The sequence below is a fragment of the Homo sapiens genome, chromosome 5 (assembly GCF_000001405.40).
Source record: "Homo sapiens chromosome 5, GRCh38.p14 Primary Assembly".
Lineage (NCBI taxonomy): Eukaryota > Metazoa > Chordata > Mammalia > Primates > Hominidae > Homo > Homo sapiens.
In genome coordinates this window covers 154,750,034-154,772,366 of record NC_000005.10, presented here as the reverse complement: position 1 = coordinate 154,772,366, position 22,333 = coordinate 154,750,034, and the positions used below count along the sequence as shown (strand labels likewise).

At 49.1% G+C, this 22,333-nt stretch overlaps 1 protein-coding gene and 1 long non-coding RNA gene across 19 annotated transcripts in view, besides 9 other annotated features; one reads left to right on the top strand and one right to left on the bottom strand.

The window, feature by feature from the left end:
- LARP1 (La ribonucleoprotein 1, translational regulator) overlaps window positions 1-22,333 on the bottom strand; it is a 134,627-nt gene that overhangs the window by 45,239 nt on the left and 67,055 nt on the right. For 4 of the 18 annotated variants that reach the window (NM_033551.3, XM_011537614.2, NM_001367718.1 and 1 more), the window contains exon 1: window positions 16,174-16,990. The exons of 11 other annotated variants lie outside the window; for them this stretch is intronic. In NM_033551.3, coding sequence (NP_291029.2) covers window positions 16,174-16,609 — 436 coding nt within the window. In that variant the 5' untranslated portion in view covers window positions 16,610-16,990. Of the gene's footprint in view, window positions 1-15,076; window positions 15,214-15,844; window positions 16,991-17,608; window positions 17,726-22,333 lie in introns of those variants that run through there. 3 more of the 18 variants (NM_001367714.1, XM_005268408.4, NM_001367719.1) reach the window with 3 other exon arrangements.
- Window positions 2,020-2,079: a silencer, noted in NCBI's record as "silent region_16553". NCBI's record gives its function as "represses an Ori minimal core promoter by ATAC-STARR-seq in GM12878 lymphoblastoid cells {active_cell/tissue: GM12878}" and the evidence as "EXISTENCE:reporter gene assay evidence [ECO:0000049][PMID:35858748]".
- Window positions 11,165-11,274: an enhancer, noted in NCBI's record as "active region_23483". NCBI's record gives its function as "activates an Ori minimal core promoter by ATAC-STARR-seq in GM12878 lymphoblastoid cells {active_cell/tissue: GM12878}" and the evidence as "EXISTENCE:reporter gene assay evidence [ECO:0000049][PMID:35858748]".
- Window positions 14,111-14,300: a silencer, noted in NCBI's record as "silent region_16552". NCBI's record gives its function as "represses an Ori minimal core promoter by ATAC-STARR-seq in GM12878 lymphoblastoid cells {active_cell/tissue: GM12878}" and the evidence as "EXISTENCE:reporter gene assay evidence [ECO:0000049][PMID:35858748]".
- Window positions 14,933-14,992: an enhancer, noted in NCBI's record as "active region_23482". NCBI's record gives its function as "activates an Ori minimal core promoter by ATAC-STARR-seq in GM12878 lymphoblastoid cells {active_cell/tissue: GM12878}" and the evidence as "EXISTENCE:reporter gene assay evidence [ECO:0000049][PMID:35858748]".
- Window positions 15,913-16,022: a silencer, noted in NCBI's record as "silent region_16551". NCBI's record gives its function as "represses an Ori minimal core promoter by ATAC-STARR-seq in GM12878 lymphoblastoid cells {active_cell/tissue: GM12878}" and the evidence as "EXISTENCE:reporter gene assay evidence [ECO:0000049][PMID:35858748]".
- Window positions 16,303-16,382: a silencer, noted in NCBI's record as "silent region_16550". NCBI's record gives its function as "represses an Ori minimal core promoter by ATAC-STARR-seq in GM12878 lymphoblastoid cells {active_cell/tissue: GM12878}" and the evidence as "EXISTENCE:reporter gene assay evidence [ECO:0000049][PMID:35858748]".
- Window positions 16,423-16,832: a silencer, noted in NCBI's record as "silent region_16549". NCBI's record gives its function as "represses an Ori minimal core promoter by ATAC-STARR-seq in GM12878 lymphoblastoid cells {active_cell/tissue: GM12878}" and the evidence as "EXISTENCE:reporter gene assay evidence [ECO:0000049][PMID:35858748]".
- Window positions 16,873-17,212: a silencer, noted in NCBI's record as "silent region_16548". NCBI's record gives its function as "represses an Ori minimal core promoter by ATAC-STARR-seq in GM12878 lymphoblastoid cells {active_cell/tissue: GM12878}" and the evidence as "EXISTENCE:reporter gene assay evidence [ECO:0000049][PMID:35858748]".
- On the top strand, window positions 17,347-20,693 carry LOC112267936 (uncharacterized). The gene is made up of 2 exons (XR_002956231.2): window positions 17,347-18,588; window positions 19,790-20,693. It is a non-coding gene; the product is annotated as an uncharacterized LOC112267936 (long non-coding RNA).
- Window positions 17,463-17,612: a silencer, noted in NCBI's record as "silent region_16547". NCBI's record gives its function as "represses an Ori minimal core promoter by ATAC-STARR-seq in GM12878 lymphoblastoid cells {active_cell/tissue: GM12878}" and the evidence as "EXISTENCE:reporter gene assay evidence [ECO:0000049][PMID:35858748]".

Here is a 22,333-nt window from a genome sequence, read left to right as displayed (position 1 = left end):
ATAGTCACGAGCCACAATATGTGGATACTGAGCACTTGAAATGTTCCTAGCCCAAATCAAGAAGTGTGAAAGACATCAAATTTCAAAAACTTAGTAAGAAGAATGTACATTTCATTATTTTTACATTATGTTAAAACAGCATTTTGAATATATTAGATTATTAAAACTGATTTCCCCTGTTTTGGCTACTAGAAAATTTTAATTTACGTGGCTAGCACTGGTCTAGAAAGATACACAATCTCATCAATGCTTATTATATTTATATGTGTATTTATGTTCATGTGCGTTGTATATTTGCTGGTTAGTGGGACAGATTACCAAGGGGTTGTTTTTCTTTTTGCTAAAATATATTTGGACATTTTTCTACAATGAATTGGTGTTGCCTGAGCAACCTGAAGATTTCCCCTTCGAAAGAAGTTAAAAGGCCCAACACATAGGGTATTTTCCGTCCTCTTTGGTAACACAAAGCCAGACAGCCTTCCAAAGCCTGTAGAGAACCCCACCCCCAACCTTTCCTACTGACCCTAAGGCCATTCGTGAAAAACTACAAGGTCTTTCCAGCAGGCCTGCATGTGGCCCGGCAGAGCTGAAGAGGAACATCTCTAGGGGAATAAGAGCCAGAGCTCCCCAGCAGGATCAGTGCCTGGCTTATACCCACTTGGCTTATGTCCCCAGAGCCCACCCTGCCAGCGGAGGCAGAGTTGAGGCGTCTAGGCTGGGCCGTAACAGCCCTATACAGATATCAGCAGCTCAAGATCTGTGCGAGTCCTCTCTCCCCGCCAACAGTTTTCCTGGCAGGATATGTACAATTCTGTGGTCTGGGAGAATGCAAAGCCAGATGATGTGTACGGCATGAACTCTGGAGTCAGTCTGCCATGGGCTCAAACCCCAGCTACTTACTAACTACTGTGAAGCCTTCAGCAAATTAGTGAACCTCTACGAGCACCTGTTTTGTCATCCGTAAAATGAGGATTGTCACTGTAGCTAGATCCCACAGGGTTACTGTGAAAATGAATGGTGACAGTGAATAGGAGTGTGTGGTAGCTTGAAAGTTCAATAATCATGAGATTAGCAGAGGGTCTCCAGGAACTCCGGCCTGGGTTCCTGGGGCATCTGTCCTCACCAAGGCAAGCTACCCATGAGGCAGATTTTAGGACACCTGGCCAAGCCCAAGGACATGATAAAGGCTATTACTCACTGATAAGCACTGCACTTGACAGCACAGGATCCAATCCTTTTTTTTTTTTTTTCTTTTGAGACACAGTCTCGCTCTGCTGCCCAGGCTGGAGGGCAGTGGCGCGATCTTGGCTCACAGCAACCTCCACCTCCTGCGTTCAAGCGACTCTCTCACCTCAGCCACCCGAGTAGCTGGGATTACGGGCGCCTGCTGCCACGCCTGGCTAATTTTTGTATTTTTGTAGAGACGGGGTTTCACCACATTGGGCAGGCTGGTCTTGAACTCCTCACCTCAGGTGATCCACCTGCCTCGGCCTCCCAAAGCGCTGGGATTACAGGCATGAGCCACCGTGCCCGGCCAGGATCCAATCCCTTTATAAAAGTTGTGAGAAATGAAGTTCTAGCCAGGAGAAACTAGAGAGTGGGACTAAAATCAGAACTCCAGTCTGGATTCCCAGACTGTGCTCCAGCAGCTTGCTCTGACTCTGCCCTAAGGATCTTACCTGAAATCAAAAACCCACAGCAGTTCCTGACAAGAAGTCAGGAAGAAAAAACCATGACATACAGACTCAGGGTCAAGATCAGTCCCAACCTCCTGGACTGCCCTCCCAACCATGCCCTTGCCTGTGTCTCAGGCTATTCTCTCATACCCTCATTCCACCTCTACCCTGGGGCAGGGAGAGAGCCAGGGATGGGCAGGGAGGGAGCCAGGGACAGGCCGGGAGAGGTAGCCTAGGCAGGGAAGCACCTGTCCTCAGCATGGCTTTGGGGCCAAGAGATCCAAAACCAGGGGGAAAATGCCTGCCTAAACTACCCTTCTGATCAGGGGATAGTGCAACTAATTCAGCTTCTAGACAGTGTGAGAAGTGAGGAGGAAATACGAAATAGCAATCAGAAAGCTTCCTCTTTAAGTGGTCTAGTCTCAGGACAAAACAGCTAGTTAAAAAAAAAAAAAAAATCAGGCCCAAGTCACTATGCCATCATCCCCCTCCTCTCCATCTTTTTCCTGGACTACTACAGAAGTAGTCTCCTAAGCAGTCTCCTTGCTTCCACCTTGCCTCCTCCCCCTACCTCCTCTGTCCATTTTCCACAGAACTGGGTAATCCTAAAGCAGAAATCAGGTGATATCACCTCTTCCAATGCTTTCAGAACAGGATCCAGACTCCCTAAGCTGGCCTCCAAAGGCCTCCTGTTTCTGATTCTTTGTGTCTCTCTCCCCTCATTCATACAGGCCTTGTCTCTGCTCCTTGGAGAACTCTAAACTCATTACCACCTGGTACTTGTTATTCCTCCAGGTTAGAAGGTTCACCACCAGTCTCCTTATCAATCCTATCTTGGCTCACCGTGAGAGGCACTCCCCAACACTTTGACTGAAGCTGCCCCCAGCTACTGCCACAAGGCCTCTAGCCACATCTTTCTCCTTTATACTCTGAGACTGATCACACAGGGTGTTTGTGCTTAACAGAGCCTTAGAGATTGACATCCAAGATGCTATATCCATTTCGCAGATGAGGGGAGGGAAGCAAAGTCTCACTGGGGCCTAACATAACTCAGTTTCACCTGGCAAGCCCATCCCTTAACTCTCAGAGAGCTTTCTATTGCTGCTCCAGGGCCTCTGGCCACAAAGCTAGGTGAGTCCTATCTCTCCATCACACTCACTCCCCCTACCTCACCTCTATTGAGTGCAACTCCTACCCTAAGACCTTAAAGTCGTCCCCACGTCCCCCACCGCCTCCTCTCATTCTTCTCCCATGAGGATGTTCCTCTGTGAGCTAGGCAGTCTGCTGTCCTTTCTCATTTTTATGATGAAATACACAAAGTCTGGGCCCATAGACCTCATGTTGGAAGGAAGCCTGGATAAAAGATGGCAAACTCAAGGGCCTACAAGAGCCAAGCTGTGGCACTCTTCACCTAAAGGGAGGCTGGGCCCTGCCATCAGACAGCAGTCATGAGAGGTCCAGAGCGGCTAGGCCTTCTCATTTTTACCCCTATAACAGCTTTATTCACATAATTTACATACCATGCAACCCATCCATTTAAAGTACACAATTTGGCCAGGGGCAGTGGCTCATACCTTTAACTCCTGCACTTTGAGAGGCCGAGGTGGGCGAATCACCTGAGGTCAGGAGTTCAAGACCAGCCTGGCCAGTGTGGCAAAACCCAGTCTCTACTAAAAATACAAAAAATTAGCCAGGCGTGATAGGCACCTGTAATCCCACTACTTGGGAGGCTGACACAGGAGAATTGCTTGAACTCAGCAGGCGGAGGTTGCAGTGAGCTGAGATCACGCAAAAAAATAAAGTAAAATACAGCTGGGCAAGGTGGTTCATGCCTGTAATCACAGCACTTTGGGAGGCCAAGGCGGGTGGATCACGAAGTCAGAAGTTCCAAGACCAGCCTGGCCAACATAGTGAAACCCCATCTCTACTAAAAATACAAAAATTAGCCGGGCATGGTGGCGCGTGCCTGTAGTCCCAGCTACTCAGGAGGCTGAGGCAGGAGAATCACTTGAACCCAGGAGGTGGAGGTTGCAGTGAGCCAAGATCGCGCCACTGCACTCCAGCTTGGGCAACAGAGTGAGACTTCGTCTCAAATAAATAAATAAATAAATAAAAATAAATAAATAAAAAATAGGGTACATAATTCAGTGGTTGCTTATTGACTCTGATTTCTTTTTAAAGCTAGAATTCCCTAGGTTTCCAGATAATTTTCTTGATTTTTAAATACAGATGATTAAAGTGTTTTTACATGCAAGTCAATCAAAACTTGTCAGTGGGCTGGACTGACAGGTGACTTCTGCCTTTCAGAATATAAGCCCCACCATGGCCGCAATGTGTCTTGTTTACAACTCTGAATCTCAGGGCCTGACACCTAACAGATACAGTATTCACAACTTTCTGAATGAATGAATCTGAAAAGTATTTTGCCAACTTGTAGCTGCAGAACCCTACAACAAATCATGCTCTAAACTACTGTCCCAAATATTACCATGTCAAGGAACTCAGTATCCCCTGTGACAACTGAATCCATTTAGGGGCACTGTTAAAAGTTACTACTTGACTACAGGCAAAACCTACTAACCCTTCATCTCTCACCTGCCATCAGAGCTTTAGGCCAAGTGGAAAAGATCTATCAAAATTCTGTATTTCAAGACAAGCAGCATTTCCCACCGCACCCCCAAGCTTTGATTCCCTGGGCAAAATAACCCTAGTTCTTCAACCATTCCTTCTTCATAGAAGGATGCATGCAGCCCAGTGAGCCAATTCTTCCAGGTGTTCCTGATTTCCTGTCTCCCACATTTCCTAGAAGCAGCATCCAGCCTCCCATACCCAACCTTGCACTCACCATTTCCAAACCCCACCCCTACACTGGGCTCCAAAACTAGGCTATTCCATCCATGTAATTGGTGTCTCTTCCTCCTACCACTGTTAATACACACGCAGAACAGGAAATACATATACAGAACAGAAAAATCAGAGAGAGCTCTGCTTCTTCAAACAACCTCAAAGCTGCAGAAAGCCATGAAAGAGAGTGGGAGAGTTTTACTGCAAAACGCCTGAACTCATCTCTGACATTCTAACACTAGGGCATTCTCAAGCACCACAATTTGAGCTTCTCACTGTCAAGATTATGGTCCCCAGTGAGTCCTTAAATTCCACTTCAATATGGAGTTGCTTGAGCCAGCCTAGGGCAAGGTCAGAAAAACTGGCTCTGAGAGTTCACGTAGGCTACCTTCCTGTGTATACTCAGGACCAAACTGCAGCAATCAAGGGGAAGAGGACCCAGGACAACAGAGGAAGGCCAGCTATAGCACCTGACTTCTGTTAAGCAAATTGAAGACCTGGGCCAAAGTCAGGGCCTCAAAAGAAGAACATTCAACATTCTTACCATTACCACGTATTACTATGTGCCAGGCTCCAGTTGAGTATTTTTATATATTCACCTAGCTCACATTCATCAATGATCCTAGTACGTGGGCACTCCAGCTATAGCCCCATTTACTGAAGCCCAGAAGTTAGCAACCTATCCAAGGGCACTCAGTGGGTAAATGGCTGCGCTAACTGTGACTGACTGTCCCAAGTTCATGCTCAACTACCCCATTTTACTTCTTCCTCCAGAGGTAGAGTTAAAACAGAACTGTAGTGGGAGCAGTTTCAAGTCTCAGCCTCACTTTGAATTGACTGGAATCCTGAACAACTCCTATTTCCTTTCTGGGCTTGAAGTTCCTAACCTGTAAATGAGAGGTTTAGATTGAATGACCTCTGAGTCCCTTCCAGTTCCAAATATTCCCTCTTCTCTGAAAGGAGGAAGGGAAAACCAAGGCCCTGAGGGCACAGCAATGGAGACAGTGCTGACAACTAGGAAACTGGGCTGGGTAAGCCTAACTATAGCCCAATGTTCTCAAGAACTCAGGGTAGCAGCCTATCTGTAGGCAAATGCAAACCCACTGTTCTCAGCATAGCTGTAAAACCAGCTGATGGTTAGAAGCCTAGCCATGTGGACCACCCCAGGAGAAGGGGGCCGACTGCCACCTGGAAGCCTGCCCCACTGCCCCTTCTACAACTTTCAGGGCCTCTTGTTGTTCCCACCCAGCCAGCTGCAGCAGGGGCAAGCAGGCAAGCATGAGCTCAACCAGTTCATCAGCAACTGTGCCTCTTCCAGCAAATGAGATGCATTCTGGATAATGTAGCCTTCTGAAGGGTCTGAGATATCCCATAAACCTCGGCCACTCTCTACCCCTAAGTGATGACAGTTAATAATTGCCCAAGATCCACATTTCAGGAGTGACTTGGAAATTTGCTCCATTTTGTAATCTGGGAACCTTGCCCTAAAGGATCAAATGGGAAACCCCAAATCACCTATTCTTAACCCAAGACGTTCTGCCATGTGGCCAGAGTCATCTTTCAAAAGGAAAAATCTGACCATGCTACTCCCCTCACATACAATCTTCGATGTCTCTCCACTCCTTCCAGCTAAAATCAGAATTCAGCACAGATTACAAGGCAGGACTGCTTACCTTACTTTCTAATCATCCATACTAAAACCACAAGGAACTCAGTTCCCTGAACACCAGGGCCTTTCCTCAACCAAAACTGAGTTCTCTTTCCAGGCTTCTTCTCAGGTGACTGCTACTCATCCTTCCCATTTCTAGAAGACTTCTCTGACCTATACTGAATTGGGTGCCCCTGCTACACTGCCAAAGAATTCCATACTTTGGGATTCCCTACACAACATATTCCATACTGAATTTTGAGTGCATGTGTTTCTTGCAGAGACTTTTTATTATGCACTGCAGTATCCCCTATGTCTGACACATGGTAAGCACTCAAAATGTAATGAATGAATGCCATTAAAAATACGCAATTCATTCTTTCACTAAATGTTCACCAAGCTGCCTATTACATTGTGCCAGGCACTGCTGCAGGTACTGGGAATACAAACGTAATCAGGTATCGAAGTCCCTGACCCAGTGGTGATAAGAGCTAAGAAGAAAAATAGCCAGGTGCCGTGGCTCATGCTTGTAATCCTGGCACTTTGGGAAACCGAGGTGGGAGGACTGCTTGAGCCTAGGAGTTTAAGACCAGCCTGGGCAACATAGTGAGACCCCATTCCTACAAAAAATTAAAAAACTGGCCAGGCGTGGTGACGTGTGCCTGTAGTCTCAGCTACTACTCTGGAGGCTGAGGTGGAAGGATCACTTGAGCCTGGGAGGTTGAGTCTGCAGTGAGCCGTGATTGCACTGCTGCACTGCAGGCTGGATGACAGACTCAGACCCTGCCTTGGGGCGGCGGGGGGCAGTGGGGAGAACTAAGAAGAAAAATGAAGCAGGGTAAGAGGGATGGAGAGAGGGAATCCAAGGTCAGGACTTGCTAGTCTATATAGGGTGGTCTGGGAAGGCATTTCCACCACAGTGATCTGCGGGAAGAGCACTACAGAACATAAGACCCAAAGCAAAGAGTACATGACATGTTTCAGGAAGTGAGGACTGATGCTGGAAGGGAATGAGTGAAGAAGGGGCAAGTGATGAAAGATGAGGTCAGAGGTTAGGTGGACAGAGACCAGATCAAGTGCGGTCTTAGAGAACACTCTAAGGACTCTGAATTTTACTCTGCTAAGAAGTTACCAGAGGGCTTTAAGTAGGAGTGATAGGAGACCAGTTAAGAGGCTGCTGCAAAAATCTACATGAGAAATGATGATGTATGGTCCAGGCCAGCAAGAGACGAGGCGGTACAAGCATTTAGATCTGGACATAGGTTTTTTTTGTTGTTTCTTTTTTTTTTTTTTTGTGATGGAGTCTTGCTCTGTTGCCCAGGCTGGAGAGCAGTGGCATGATCTCGGCTCACTGCAACCTCTGCCTCCCAGGTTCAAGCGATTCTTGTGCCTCAGCTTCCCAAGTAGCTGGGATTACAGGTGTGCACGATGACGCCCAGCTACTTTTTGTATTTTTGGTAGAGACTGGGTTTCACCATGTTGGCTAGGCTGGTCTCAAACTCCTGACTTCAACTGACCCTCCCGCCTCGGCCTCCCAAAGTGCTGGGATTACAGGTGTGAGCCACTACGCCCAGCCAGTTTTTTTTTTTTTTTTTTTTTTTTTGAGACATGGTCTCACTGCATTGCCTAGGCTGGAGTGCAGTGGCTCTTGCTCAATATAGCCTCGACCTCCTGGGCTCAAGCAATCCTTCCACCTCAGCCTCCAGAGTAGCTCAGACCACAGGAATGCACCACCACACCCAGTTAATTTTTTTTTAAAGAGATGGGGTCTCTCACTATGTTGCCCAGGCTGGTCTTGAACTCCTGCGCTCAAGTGATCCTCCCAAAGTGCTGGGATGACTGGTATAAGCCCCCACACCCAACCTGGATGCAGCTTTTTTTTTTTTTTTGAGATGAAGTCTTGCTCTGTCACCCAGGCTGGAGTGCAATGGTGCAATCTCAGCTCACTGCAACCTCTGCCTCCCAGGTTCAAGCGATTCTCCTGCCTCAGCCTCCCGAGTAGCTGGGGATTACAGGCGCATGCCACCACGCCCAGCTAATTTTTGTATGTTTAGTAGAGGCAGGGTTTCACTGTGTTGGCCAGGCTGGTCTTGAACTCCTGACCTCAGGTGATCCACCTGCCTCGGCCTCCCAAAGTGCTGGGATTACAGGCGTGAACCACCGCACCCAGGCAGCTTTTTCTTTTTGAGACAGTCCTGCTCTGTTGCCCAGGCTGGAGTGCAGTGACACACTCATCTTTCACTGCAGCCTTTACCTCCCAAGGCTCAAGTGATCCTCCCACCTCAGCCTCCCCAGGAGCTGGGATTACAGGCACGCACCACCATGCTCGACTAATTTTTGTACTTTTTTTTTTTTGTAAGAGATGGGGTATCCCTATGTTACCCAGACTGGTCTCAAACTTCCAGGCTCAAGCAATCTGCCCACCTTGGCCTCCCACCCAAAGTGCTGGGGTTACAGGCATGAGGCACTGTGCCCGGCCAGGACACAGTGTTTAATTGTCAAAGGATGTACTAGTACATTACATGTGGGGTCACAAAAAGACATTTACTTTTTAGAGACAGGGTCTCACTCTGTCGCCCAGGCTGGAGTACTGTGGCACAATCACAGCTCACTTGCAGCCTTGAACTCCTGGGCTCACATGATCCTACCATCTCGGTCTCCCAAAGTGCTGGGATTACAGGTGTGAGCCACTGCAACCAGCCAGAAAAAAAAAAACAGAGGTGGCAAGGATGATCTTAAGGTCTTTAGTCTGAGCAATTAGAAGGACAGAGTTGCTAAACGTCTCCTGAGTCTCACTTTCCTCATCTGTGAAGTGGGAATAAAAAGAGCATCTGCTGGGCCAGGCGCGGTGGCTAACATCTGTAATCCCAGCACTTTGGGAGGCCGAAGTGGGCAGATCACCTGAGGTCAGGAGTTCGAGACCAACCCGACCAACATGAAGAAACCCCATCTCTAGTAAAAATACAAAAAATTAGCCAGGCGTGGTGGTGCATGGCTGTAATCCCAGCTACTTGGGAGGCTGAGGCAGGAGAATCGCTTGAACCCAGGAGGCATAGGTTGCGGTGAGCTGAGATCGTGCACTGCACTCCAGCCTGGGCAACGAGAGAAACTCTTTCTCAAAAAAAGAAAAAAAAAAAAAAAAAAGCATCTGCTCAGCAGATCACTTGGGCTAGAACAGGTGAGACACTCAGTAAATGCAGTAAATGGTGACTATTCCAGTACTATTACTTATCTCTGAATTATCAAGAGCCTAAATAAATTAGTTTAAGTGAAAAGCAGAGCAAAAACCATACAGAGCCCTATCTCTATCAGATCATTTATCTAGATGGCTCCTGGCTACTGTGGGACTTAATTTCCTCTGAGAAGCTTGCAACTCCATTCTAAGGCAAAGAAAAAGGCAACTTTGAGTGGCTGGAATGTATGTCTTGAGAGTAAGGTGGTTACCACTAGTTTGGAGAATAATTACAAAGTGGCCTGTAAACAAGGCCTGTCATGGAGGAATCATCTAGGTTTACTAACAGCACATCAAACTGAGATGGAGAAGTCCCATGCCATATATGACAGATCTACCAAGCTGGCTTTACAAAATTCATCTATGAAGACCCACAATCCTCCCCTCCCCACACCTAGGGCTTTGCCAGTCTAAAGGTTCAGCCAAGAAAAAAAAGGTGCCACACTAGGACTGTCCTTGATTCTGGGAACATCCTTCAGGAAGACATCCCAGGCTATTAGCCATGTGAAGTTGGCCACTTGCCCCTGGTAACTACCACAAATAGCCCTTGTTGAAAATTCAGCTAACTCCTGATTATCCACTCAGTTCCGGAAAGGCACAGATAAACCCTCAGAGTGAGTAATTACCAATATCTGGCTTTGGAATGCAATCTTCTGAAATAAAAAAAAAAACTTACATCTTACCTCTGTGTAGGAGGTTTTTTTGGTTTTTTTGTTTTGTTTTGAGATGGAGTCTTGCTCTTGTCACCCAGGCTGGAGTGCAGTGGCACGATCTCAGCTCACTGCAACCTCCGCCTCCCCGGTTCGAGCAATTCTCCTGCCTCAGCCTCCTGAGTAGCTGGGACTACAGGCACACGCCACCATGCCTGGCTAATTTTTTTGTATTTTTAGTAGAGACGAGGTTTCACTATGCTGGCCAGATTGGTCTTAAAACTCCTGACCTCATGATCCGCCCGCCTCGGCCTTCCAAAGTGCTAGGATTACAGGTGTGAACCCCCGCGCCCAGCAGGACTTTTTCAATTCATGAACTGTACTGCCCCATACTCAACAGCAATTTGACGCTCTAAACAACCTCAGCACCGGGATTAGCCCCATTCTGTGAATAAGGAAAACAGGTTAGACAAACAATCTAAGGTCACAAAGTGAGAGCAGAGAGAAGTACCCTGCCCATGTTCTAATTTAAATCCCATCACCTTCTCCCTTCACATTGATGTGCTGTTTCCCATGTTTTCACCAGCGAGGTACCAAAACTTACTTCCTTTCTTGAATCCCAGGCAAGGTAAGGCCATCCTCTCTCCTGGCCACTCCCTTAGATCACTCTGGACCAGCCAGGGAGGTTTTTGAGTCTGGACTGAGGCACCTGCTGAACCTCCAGTGGCCCCAACACCCTAATTACTCCCTTTGAGCTGTCTTGGGTTTTGCAAACAGGGGAACTCCCATCTGCCAAGCTCTCCATCTTAAAGAGGTTTTGTAGTTTCAGGCCGGCTGCTCCTCCTCCTCCTCCCACCCTGCCCACCTCCCAGAAAAGAGAATGGGTGCTCAGTAACAGCTATTAAGATTGCTTACTCCAGTTCAGGTCCCACTATAGACAGTGGGTGGGTCAGCAGAAAGACCCCGACCCTCAGGAGGTTCAGAGTTCAAGAAAGCTTGTGACTACCCTCTACCTCCCAAAGGGCCAAAAACCACTTCCTAAAAACCTTCCCCTACCTGGCAGGCACTCACTTCCGGGTTAGTATGAAACTCAAACTACCTGTGCAAAAGGAAAGGGGCCAGGCCAGCTGAAGGCTCCCGATGAAAGCTGCCTCCCACTCTCCCCTTCAAAGGGTGTCCTAATTGTGACCTTTCCTTAGAAGAAGAGAAAGTGATTCACACTATATTGCTTCTTGGCCTTTTGGCTAAGATCAAGTGCACAATAGGAAAAAGCCTTAAGTCTTATGTAATAGACTAACCTAACAGTTCTTAGGTGGGGGTGCACAATATATCCAGTTACACAGTTAAAAACAATCATAATACCATTATCACCCCTGACAAAATAAGATAATTTCTTAACTTAGTCAATTTCCTCAGTTGTCATCAAAATGTCTTTGGACATTTGGTCAAGAATCAAGATCCAAACAAGATCCACAACAATGCACGACTGATGTCTCAACTTTCTTCATCTGTAACAGTTCTTCCCTTTAAAAAATGCCATTTATTTATTGGAAATAGTGTGTCTTGTAGAATTTCTCACATTTAGAAACTGAATAACTGCCTACCTCATGGCTAATTAGTCTGTTCCTGTAGCCCCATTTCCCTATAAACTGGCAGTTGGATCTATGGTTCTGTTAGATTTAGGTTCAGTTTTTATTTGGTGGAGGAAATTTTCAGGCAGTGCTGTGTGCTTTCAGACACTGTAAGGCACATAATGTCTGGCTGCTCCATTATACACCCCCAAGCCATCGACTTAGGCTCCTGAAGCCAGAAGAGTTTCTCCAGCCTCCAGAGAGCTTGGATTCCTAATCACAACGCAAATACAAAGCTACACATATATAAAGCTCTACTTTGGTTTCTTTCTTTTGTGGGGAGGGAGTTTTAGAAAAAAATTTTTGATACTAGAAAAATTTTAAGACATTTAGACCTAGTCTAATACCCTGATTTTACAGACGAAGAAACAGGCACAGAGAAAGCAAAGCGTTTGCCGGTGTCCACATTGCTGGTCATGAGCAGGATCAGAAGTAGCTCCTAGGGCCGGGCGCGGTGGCTCACGCCTGTAATCCCAACCCAAAACTTTGGGAGGCCAAGGCAGGTGGATCACCTGAGGTCGGGAGTTTGAGACCAGCCTGACCAACATGGAGAAACCCCGTTCTACTAAAAATACAAAATTAGCCGGGCATGGTGGCACATGCCTGTAATCCCAGCTACTCTCAAGGCTGAGGCAGGAGAATCGCTTGAACCCGGGAGGTGGAGGTTGCAGTGGGCCGAGATCACACCACTGCACTCCAATCTGGGCGACAGAGCCAGACTGTCTCCAAAAAAACAAACAAACAAACAAACAAACAAACAAACAAACTTAGCCCAGCCTATCTTAAATGCACTCAGAACACTTATATTAGCCTACGGATGGCCATAGCATCTAACATAAAGCCTATTTTAAGCGTTTAATGTCTCATGTAATTAATTTATTGAATACTGTACTGAAAGTGAAAAACCATGGTTGTATGGGTACCTGAAGTACAGTTTCCAATAAATGTGTATCACTTTCCCAACAACATAAAGTCAAAAAATCATAAATTGAACCATCATAAGTTGGGGACTATCTGTACTCTCAAGTCTCACGGCACTACATGTGCACCAGCCACAGCAAACTTTCAGTCCAGTTAGGCTGGCTTTTCCTCATATCCCTGAGAGCACACGTGCAACTCCCCCCAAAGAAAATCTTTACAAAAGGCAAACTAAAAAGTTAAAACTTATTTTTTTAAAATTCATCTCACCACATTCCAAAGCAAAAAATAGCTAATTCTTAAGAGTCAGCAACCTTTAAATTATCCATCCATGCCCTTCATGTCTGTGGATAAGCAAAAGTCAAGTTTTAAGGAGACAGATCCCATACATTTCACGGAGTACTTATATAACACAAGAAAAGGAAAGATCTGCATTCACCAACCCCATCATATTACAGGTAGAGAAAACCAGAGACCCAGGGAAAAGTCCCACCAAGACCCAGAGTAAGTAACAATGTCTACCTGCCAGGCACTGGGCTAAATACACTTATCATAACAATGAATGCTGGTAATACCCCCATGAGGCAGGTGAATCATAAATACCTATTACACAAATTAAGAAGGTGAGGCATAGAATGGTTAAATAACTTGCCCAAGGAAGCACAGCTAACAAGTGGTACAGTGGCATTTGAACCCACTCAGTTTGACCCCAGAATATTCGCTATGTATCATCTCTTAACTTAGACGTCTTGGATCTTATACTTAAAAGGGGTATGGCTAGGATAAGACAAAAATTTTAAACATTTAAAAATACTCTGGGGAGGGAGGGAGATCTAAAAAACCAAAATGCAAATCCCAAGACTTAAAACTACAAATGTAAGACTTGGACGCTTAAACCAGAATACAGAACCCCACAAGAAAGTAGAGATATCACGAAACATATTTTATTACTAGTTACTGCATGTGTCCCTTAAAGAACTAAAACACCAACATTTGAGCCAAAAGTAAGGCTAAAAATAGGCATTTACAGCAAGCTTTGGAAAGCTTTTAGTTTGCTTATGAGGTACTCATTTCTGTAGACTCCCAAAAACATGTGCATCACAGAACACAAAAATTCCCAAGACCACACAGCCACTCCACTAGTGTCACGTTTAAATTTGTCGAAGCTGTAAATAAAACCAGGGCTGGAAAAGCACTTCAGAGATCCACGTAGGCTCCAGAGAAAGGGTCATCATCTAGCCTTACCAGACTGACAACCCAATCATAGAATTCTCTCTCAAAATGCACACAAACCCTAACAACAGGCTTAGAGAGAGAAGCTACTGGATTAACTTGAGTTAGGCTGTCAAAACCTATTCCAAAGGTTCTAAACCAACAAGTAGACACTCTCTTGCCTTAAGATTCCAAAAAACAATAACAGAGCAAATCTACCCTTACTCAGAATTTTGCTTTGGGCACTTAAAGCAAGTCAGCTTCTCCACTCAGAGGAAAAGGTGAGATGCCAGCCAAGCTGTCTTCTTCCCACGATCAATAACCCCAGTGACGCACACTATCAAGGGCTCCTGGACTTACACAAAATGCCAGCTCAGGCACCCAATACCACCTGATGTCACGGTTGATTTAAAACCCACAAGGTAGGTTCACCATTAGCCAAGCCAGGATGAGTAGCCCCATTTAAAAGGAGTGCTCTCTCCCGGGGATGATTATACCCTTTTGAGTTTAAAGAGGGGAGAAGGACCAAAGAGTGTTTTAAAGTTGTTTTCCTTCACTCTGTGGGTGGATAGGAGGGACTGAAAGAAAACGGAGGTTTCAGCACTGTCTTTTGCATAAAAGGGCTCTGGAAGGGAAAGGGGGGAAGGGGAGGAGGGGGGAAGGGGAGGAAGGGGGAAGGGGAGGAGGGGGGAAGGGGAGCAGGGGGGAAGGGGAGCAGGGGGGAAGGGGAGCAGGGGGGAAGGGGAGCAGGGGGGAAGGGGAGCAGGGGGGAAGGAAGAGAACACAGTATGAAGGACTGTTAGTAAACCCCAAATGTCCCCTCCTCCAAATGAAGCAACCTGAAAAGAAATAAAAATTGCAACATGCTGTTTTCAGGACTGGCTATTCTGGCTTCCCTAGGACTAGCAGTGCTTCTACTCCTTTGACGGTGAAGACATTAAGCTCCCCCTTTATTTTTGATGGTTTAAACCAGTTAGCCTCAACCAGCTACGGCAGGTGAGTTTTTTAAAAGCACCAGGGCTACGACCAGAGGCCATCATTCCAACTGCAAGACAATTTTAAAACCGACCCACCACAAACGGACCCAAAACCAAAGAATGGAGACCCGCCCTATACGCCGGCCGAGAGAGGAGAGTGGGCGCGCCCCCCCCACCCAAGCCGACGATCTATTCTCGGCAAAGGCAATGCAAGAGCAGACTCCATATTCTGCACCGCCTCTCCCCCCACGCTGACACGGCTCTGCTGGGATTTCCTGCACCCCTTACCTCCCCCCGGAAAGGGGCACGGTCCAAAAGGACCAAAACGCGGAGGAGGGAGAGGGAGGACTCGCGGAGCGCCGGTCGGCAGTCACATGCCGCTCCCCGCGCGGGGAGGCACCACGTTGTCCCGGCTGCAGAGGAATGCTGGGAAGGGGGGACGCGCACACACCCGCGCCGCGCACACGCACACTCGGGCCGCGCCGCGGGCCCGCACCCTCCTGCCACCCCCAGCGCCGCGGCCCGCACCGAACGCCGAGGCCGAGCGGCCCGCGGGCCGCCGGCGCGGCGCATGGCGCCCAACTGTCACCCGCCCGCCCAGGCCGGCCACTCCCTCCCCCGCCGCCACACGCCCCTCAAGTCGCCGCAGGCCCCTCACCCGCCTCACATTTTCCGCCAACCTCCTAACTGGCTCCCCCAGCACACTCGCCATCGGGCTCCTTCTTAAGGCGGAAGGTGCCCGGGATCGGGGAGGGAAACCACCGAATTCGATGACACGATGGGTTTCTTCTCCCCACAACTGACCCCTCAACCCGTCTCCAAATGGCGATTCTAAAGCCCAATTTCATCTCCCCGAGAACAAAACTTGTTAACTTTTAATCCCCGCATCCGTGCGGCCAGCATGTACTCCGCGCCGGGCACTGGGTTGCCCGTGACATATGCTCATTAAACATTTACAACATGGGGACGCTCGCAACGCTACCAAAACGGGGAGCGCCGGGCGGGGTGGGAAGAGGGGCTTCCAGAGGAAGGTTCAAACCAGAAACCGTCTCTTACACCAGCATGCGGTGGGGATCGTTTCACTGAAACCAGCGCCCACCCTCTGCCGACGAGGTAGGCCCGAACCACACCGTTGCCCACTAACCGCTGCGGCCCAGGCGGTGGCCGTAGCCTCCCGGAGGCCGGGCCCTCGGGCAGGGGCAGGTCCCTGAGTGTACGGTGGGGGGGAGGGCGCGGCGACCAGGATCAACCAGGAGGCAATTTTAAAAAGTCCCGAGTCACCATGACCGGTAGCAGACCCCGGGGCCCTGGAGGTGCTGGGGGAGGGGACTCCCATGTCCCCGGAAGAGGCCCCCGGACCCAGGAGGGCAAGGAGGGAGACCCACCTGGGGGGGACTGTCCGTTCACGGTGGTCAGGACCGGCGGCAATGCGTTCTTAGTCCACGGGTTCACCTTGGGCGGGGGGGCTTCCACGAAGTCCCGGCGCCCCGCGCCCGCGGCTCCGGCAGCTCCTCCGCCAGCGCCTGGCTCGCCGCCGCCCTCCTCCCCGTCGCTGATGGCCGGGCCTTCGGCGCCGGGCAGCTGCAGCGGCCGCGGGCTCTCGCGCTCCTGCTGCCCGGTGCCCTCCTTGTGCGGCTTGGCGCAGGGCGGCCGGGGTCTCCGAGCGCTGCCGTCCGGCTCCCCCCCGCGGACGTCGTTTGGCCCGGGCTCGCCCTTGCCCTCGGGCGCCGGCGGCGGCTTCTTCCTCACCAGCCCCCCGTGCTCTTCGGCCTGCAAGAGCGTGGCGCCCCCAGGCAGCAGCGGCTCCACCTGAGTGGCCATCTGCGCGCCCGCCCCCCCGGAGAAGCCGGGCGCGCCCGAGGCTGCCTCCCCCGCCTCGAACTTGGCTAGCAGAGCGCCCGCGACGCCTTCCTCCGGGGCGCTGGGCCCCAGTCCCTGCAGAGAAGGGTCGGGGTTCACGCGAGGTGCGGCCCCCTCCCAGTTAGATGCAGCCGCCGTAAATCCGAGGCCCACTAGCGGGGCGGGGGGGGAGGAAGGCCCCCCACTCTGCAGTCCAGGCCTCCTAGGCGTGCGTCCCCCCCCGCCCGTTCCTCGCAAGACGCCCCCACCCCGAGCCCGGCAGGCTTCTAGTCCCGTCCCTCCCTCCCCCCCGCCCCCGGGGCGGCCCGGGCTTCCCGGCTCGGGGGCTGCAGCAATATGGACGGACGGGGGAGAGGCGCGGCGAGCCAAGCAGACCACGCGATCCGCGGCAGGCGGCGGGCGGGCGCGCGCCTCACGACGCGGCGGGCGAGGGGAGGGGACGGCGCAGCGGGGGCGCGCCGCTGGCCGGGCCCTGGGCGACGGGCGGGCAGGAGGCGGCGGGACGGCGCGCGCACGGCTACGCGGTCCTGCCCCTCGCCCCGCCCCTCGTCTCCGATTCCTCAGAGCACCTCCCGGGCTGGGGGTAGGGACGCTCAGACCGGACGGGGGCGAGCACGTGCCTGATGCAATTCGGGAGTTGTCGGTGGGGGCGCTGACGGGGATAGGAGAGAAGGCTGGGCGAGGAGGGGAGGTATCTTAAAGGGCCAGCGCGTGAGAGCGGCCTCAGGTGGAGCACATGGGACCCGGCCACGCGGCCTGCCGGGCCTGCTCGTGCTCTTTAGGCTGGGTGTCAGATTCAGGGGAAGGAGCCATTAGTGTCATTCCTGACTTCTAGGAGGCCGAAGGGAGGACCCTCATCCGCCCCGAGGACGCGCCAACGCCGCCCCCTCCCCTGTGCCCGGCGGGCCTGGCCCCTTCGGTCCCCGCCCGGGTGACCTTGGTTGGGTGAGCCGTCCGCACCTCAGTGGGTTGTGCTCCGCGCCTCGCCGCCGCTGGGCCTGGCCTCGACACTACCCGGAGATGGGTTCAACTCCGGGCCTGGAAAGCGAGTCTTTAGCCCTTGCGGGCAGCCGGCGCCTAGGAAGTGGGAACGGAATTACTAAAGCCCTCACCCAGGCCAGGCCCTTCTCCCCGCCGCGAAACCTTGTATTTATGGGCAGGAAATGTCTTTTCTTTCAAGTGGATGTCGTTTTTTTTCTAAAGAATTGCTTTGGGCGGAGTTGAACCGTCCCTGGATTGGGACTTCTGAGATCTGAGATTTTATCCTGGCCCTGCCCCCTTACCATCTCTGCAGCAGTGACTTCCAGCTTCGTGGGCCTCAGTTTCTCTATTGTAAAATGAAGGAGCAGTGTATGACAGCAGTTTCAAACTTCAGTGTACATTCGATTCAATACTTACTGACCTCGTACTGTGGGGGCCTTGCAGGGTTCTAGGAAACGGGTTTGGTATAAACTAGGCTAACAAAGTCCCTATCCTCATGGAATTTATTCTAAGGTGGGGAAAGAGACAATAAACAAGTAATAAATTATTGTCTAGTATCTATGAAGACAATAGTTAAACTGTGGTAATCAGTTAGACTAGATGGGCTACTTTTGTTTGGGTGATAAGGGAAGACTTCTTTGAACGCAGATGCCAAAGTATTAGGAATCAGGCTCGGTCTGGGACTGGACCCAGAAATCTGCGTGTCTAGCAAGATCCCTTTGGTGCTTATGACTTCACTTGGAGAAGTCCTGGCTTCTGACTGGCTGTGATCCCACGTGCTCACATAACATAACAGCCTGGAATGTTGGCCATCTCCAAAACAAGAATTAGAGCACACGACCTGCTGGATCTAGGAGAAGACTGAATGAAAAGCCTCTTGGAACTGCCCCAGCCAGCAAAGCTGAGCTGTAGGATTGTTGTAACCAGTATGGGGGAGAAGTACTGGTAGGGATAGCCAGGTAATGCCATGTCTACTTCCAACTCTTGGGTTATTCAGCCTCCAAGCCTTGGCCAGCTAGCCGCACTTCCCTGGACCCCTCTCCTGGTGGAAAAATGGGGGTAAATAATGCCTGACTTGCTTCCACCCTCTGAGCTCATGTGAAGGTCAAGTGAGACAATGTTAGTCAAGGTGCTGTGTAAATTTTATAGACAAGCCAGTACGTCAAAAGAGCTACCAAGGAAGGTAATGTTACTCAATGAATTAAACCAGGAATCTACTAAGTTCATTACATGTACTCTTAATCAGAAGGTAAATTATTGCACATTGCCACTGAAATGCACTATTTATTTATTTGAAGAGATGAGGTCTGTCACCCAGGCTGGAGTGCAGTCATTGTGATCATGGCTCACTGCAGCTTCAAACTCCTGGGCTCAAGCCATCCTCCTACCTCAGCCTTCGAAGTAGCTAGGACCACTGGCACGTGCCACCATGCACAGCTTTATTTTTACAAATTTATTGATAAGTAATCCCTGAAGAGATTATTCACTCTAGACCCTCTCTAAACTTTGTTAATAGGGGACATAATTATTATTGTTAGTTGTTCTTTTTGTAATTGGAGGTAGAGAAGTACCCTCCCCTGACCCCTGAGAACTCGTGAGGGTACGAGGGCACTGTGTGGACAAGAAACTCGTTCATGCTACTCAGCAGTCAGAAACAGGGTTGAACAAGCATGGCCAGGCCCTGCTGTGTAGAGGGTGGAGGGGTACTGAGATCTGCCTACCCTGGGCCTGCTCTGCCCCAGAGAGAGACAAACTAGGGCCAGAGAAAGTAAGAGACCTGTGTGAAACAACATCTTTTTTTTTTTGACTCTTACTCTGTCGCCCAGGCTGGAGTGCAGTGGTGGGATCTCAGCTCACTGCAACCTCCGCCTCCCGGGTTCAAGCAATTCTTCTGCCTCAGCCTCCTGAGTAGCTGGAATTACAGGCGCCCGCCACCATGCCCAGCTAATTTTTGTATTTTTAGTAGTGATGGGGTTTCACCATAATGGCCAGGCTAGTCTCAAACTCCTGACCTCAGGTGATCTGCCCACCTCAGCTTCCCAAAGTGCTGGGATTACAAGTGTTAGCCACCATGCCCGGCCGAGACAACATCTTAGGCTTAGAAGCTGTTAGAACTGGAAAAAGGAATCATAATGATTACTCATTCTCCTTGTTTTGCAGATGAAGAAACCAAAGTTCAGAAAAGTGAAGTCCAAGGCCGGGCACAGTGGCTCAAACCTGTAATCCCGGCACTTTGGGAGGCTGAGGCAGGCAGATCACCTGAGGTCATGAGTTCAAGACCAGCCTGGCCAACATGGCGAAACACTGTCTGTACTAAAAATACAAAAATTAGCTGGGCATGGTGGCGCACACCTGTAATCCAAGCTACTCAGGAGGCTGAGGCATGAAAATTGCTTGAACCCAGGTGGCGGAGGTTGCAGTAAGCCGAGATCACCCCACTGCACTCCATCCTAGGTGACAGAGCAAAACTCCATCTCAAAAAAAGAAAAGAAAAGAAAAAGGAAGAAAAAGAAAAGTAAAGTTCCTTATCCAAAGTCACACAGCAGAGCCAGACAGAGCTAGGTCTCATACCTGAATCTCTTTATCCTAAATCCAGTAGTTTTTTCTACATTAAAATAATGAAACTGGGGCTGGGCATAGTGACTCACACCTGTAATCCTAACACTTTGAAAGGCCAAAGCAGGAGGATCACTTGAACCTAGGAGTTAGAGATCAGCCTGGACAACACAGTGAGACCCTGTCTCTATTTTTTTTAAGTTTTAATAAAAAAATGATGGAATTGGGATTTGAATTCAGGTTTTTTTGATTCCTAACCAACTATGGTATTTTATATGCATATATTTCTAAATACAGTCATCCTCCCTTATCCCAGTGCATGCCTGAAACCCCAAATAGTACCAAACTCTATATATACTATGTTTTTCCTATATATACTTACCTATAATAAAGTTTAATATATAAATTAGGCACAGTAAGAGATAAACAACAATAAATAATAAAATAGAACAATTATAACCATAGACAGTAATAAAATTTATGTGACTGTGCTCTTTCTCTCTCAAAACATCTTATTGTATGTAATATTTTCTGACCACAGTTGGCCACAGGTAACTGAAACATCAGGAAGCAAAACCACAGATAAGAGGGGACTAGTAATGACCAAATAGTCAGTAATGACCATTTAGTAATGACCAAATAGTCAGGAGTAATGACCAAATAGTCAGGAGTAGCTACTTTTATTGGGTAACTAGTGTACGCTAGGTTCTATGGGAAATACTTGATATTCATTATCTCATTTAATCTTCATAATAACCCAGTGGGATAGTTATTATTTCCTTAAATGTCTACTGAGCCCCTACTATGTGCCAGGCACTACAGGCTAGGTCCTGGAATGGTTATTGTCTTCAAATTACAAAGGAAGGCAATTGAAATTCAGAAAAGAAAGTAAGGTGGGTACTCAGCATCATAGGCAGCAGCTAACTATCAGAGTGGGGTTTTTCAGGGTGTTCTATATCGCCAGGCCTTATTCTTACTCACTGCACCACTCTGTACAGCCTACTTCTCTTCCCTCCATTGCCATATCCATAAGTATTTATGGAGAATCCCTCAAATACTTAGGCCTCAGGAAGATACCAAACAAGTTGAATCCTATCTTTCTAAAGGGTAAACTCTAATTAGAGGAACCAAATAATTGAGCAATATTTAACCTGTGGCCAAAAAAAAAGAGAGGCCAAAAAAAGAGACAAAATATGCTTTAGGCAGAAAGTGACAAGGATCAGGCTAACTTGTGCCTAGAGTTTAAACACATCATGTGCTTAAACACTAGGCCAGGTGCTATGGCTCACACCTGTAATCCCGGCACTTTGGGAGGCCAAGGTGGGAGAATTGCTTGAGCCCGGGAATTTGAGACCCACCTGGGCAACACAGTGAGACCCTGTCTCTACAAATAAATAAATAAATAAATTAGCCAGGTGTGGTGGCACATTCCTGTAGTCCCAGCTACTCAGGAGGCTGAGGTGGAAGGATTGCTTGAGCCTGGGAGGTGGAGGCTGCAGTGAGCTGTGATTGCATCACTGCACCCTAGCCTGGGCAACAAAGTGAGACGAGACCTTGTCTCAAAAAATAAAACTCACCAAATTAATAAAATGGGTCCAAATACCTATTTGGGCTGGGCATGGTGGCTCACACCTGTAATCCCAACACTTTGGGAGGCCGAGGCATGTGGACCTCTTGAGCCCAGGAGTTCAAGATCAGTCTGGGCAACATGACAAAACACCATCTCTACAAAATAATACAAAGCATTATCCGGGCATGGTGGCACACACCTGTAGTCCCAGCTGCTGGGGAGGTTGAGGTGGGAAGATCACCTGAGAGTGGGAAGTTGAGACTGCAGTGAGCCATGATTGCACCACTGCACCCCAGCCTGGGGAACAGAGTGAGACCCTCACCTGAGAGTGGGAAGTTGAGACTGCAGTGAGCCATGATTGCACCACTGCACCCCAGCCTGGGGAATAGAGTGAGACCCCGTCTCAAAAACAAAACAAAACAAAACAAAAACCTATTTGTAATTAATTATGTGCTTGTTTGCTCCTTGTGCTGACAACTTCCTAAAGAGAGACACAGCAGGCTGCATGAGAGACTAGAGAGCTGGGAGAATTGGTTTATAACCTGGGTCCCATCTCCGAGTTTGCTGAATGACTTTGG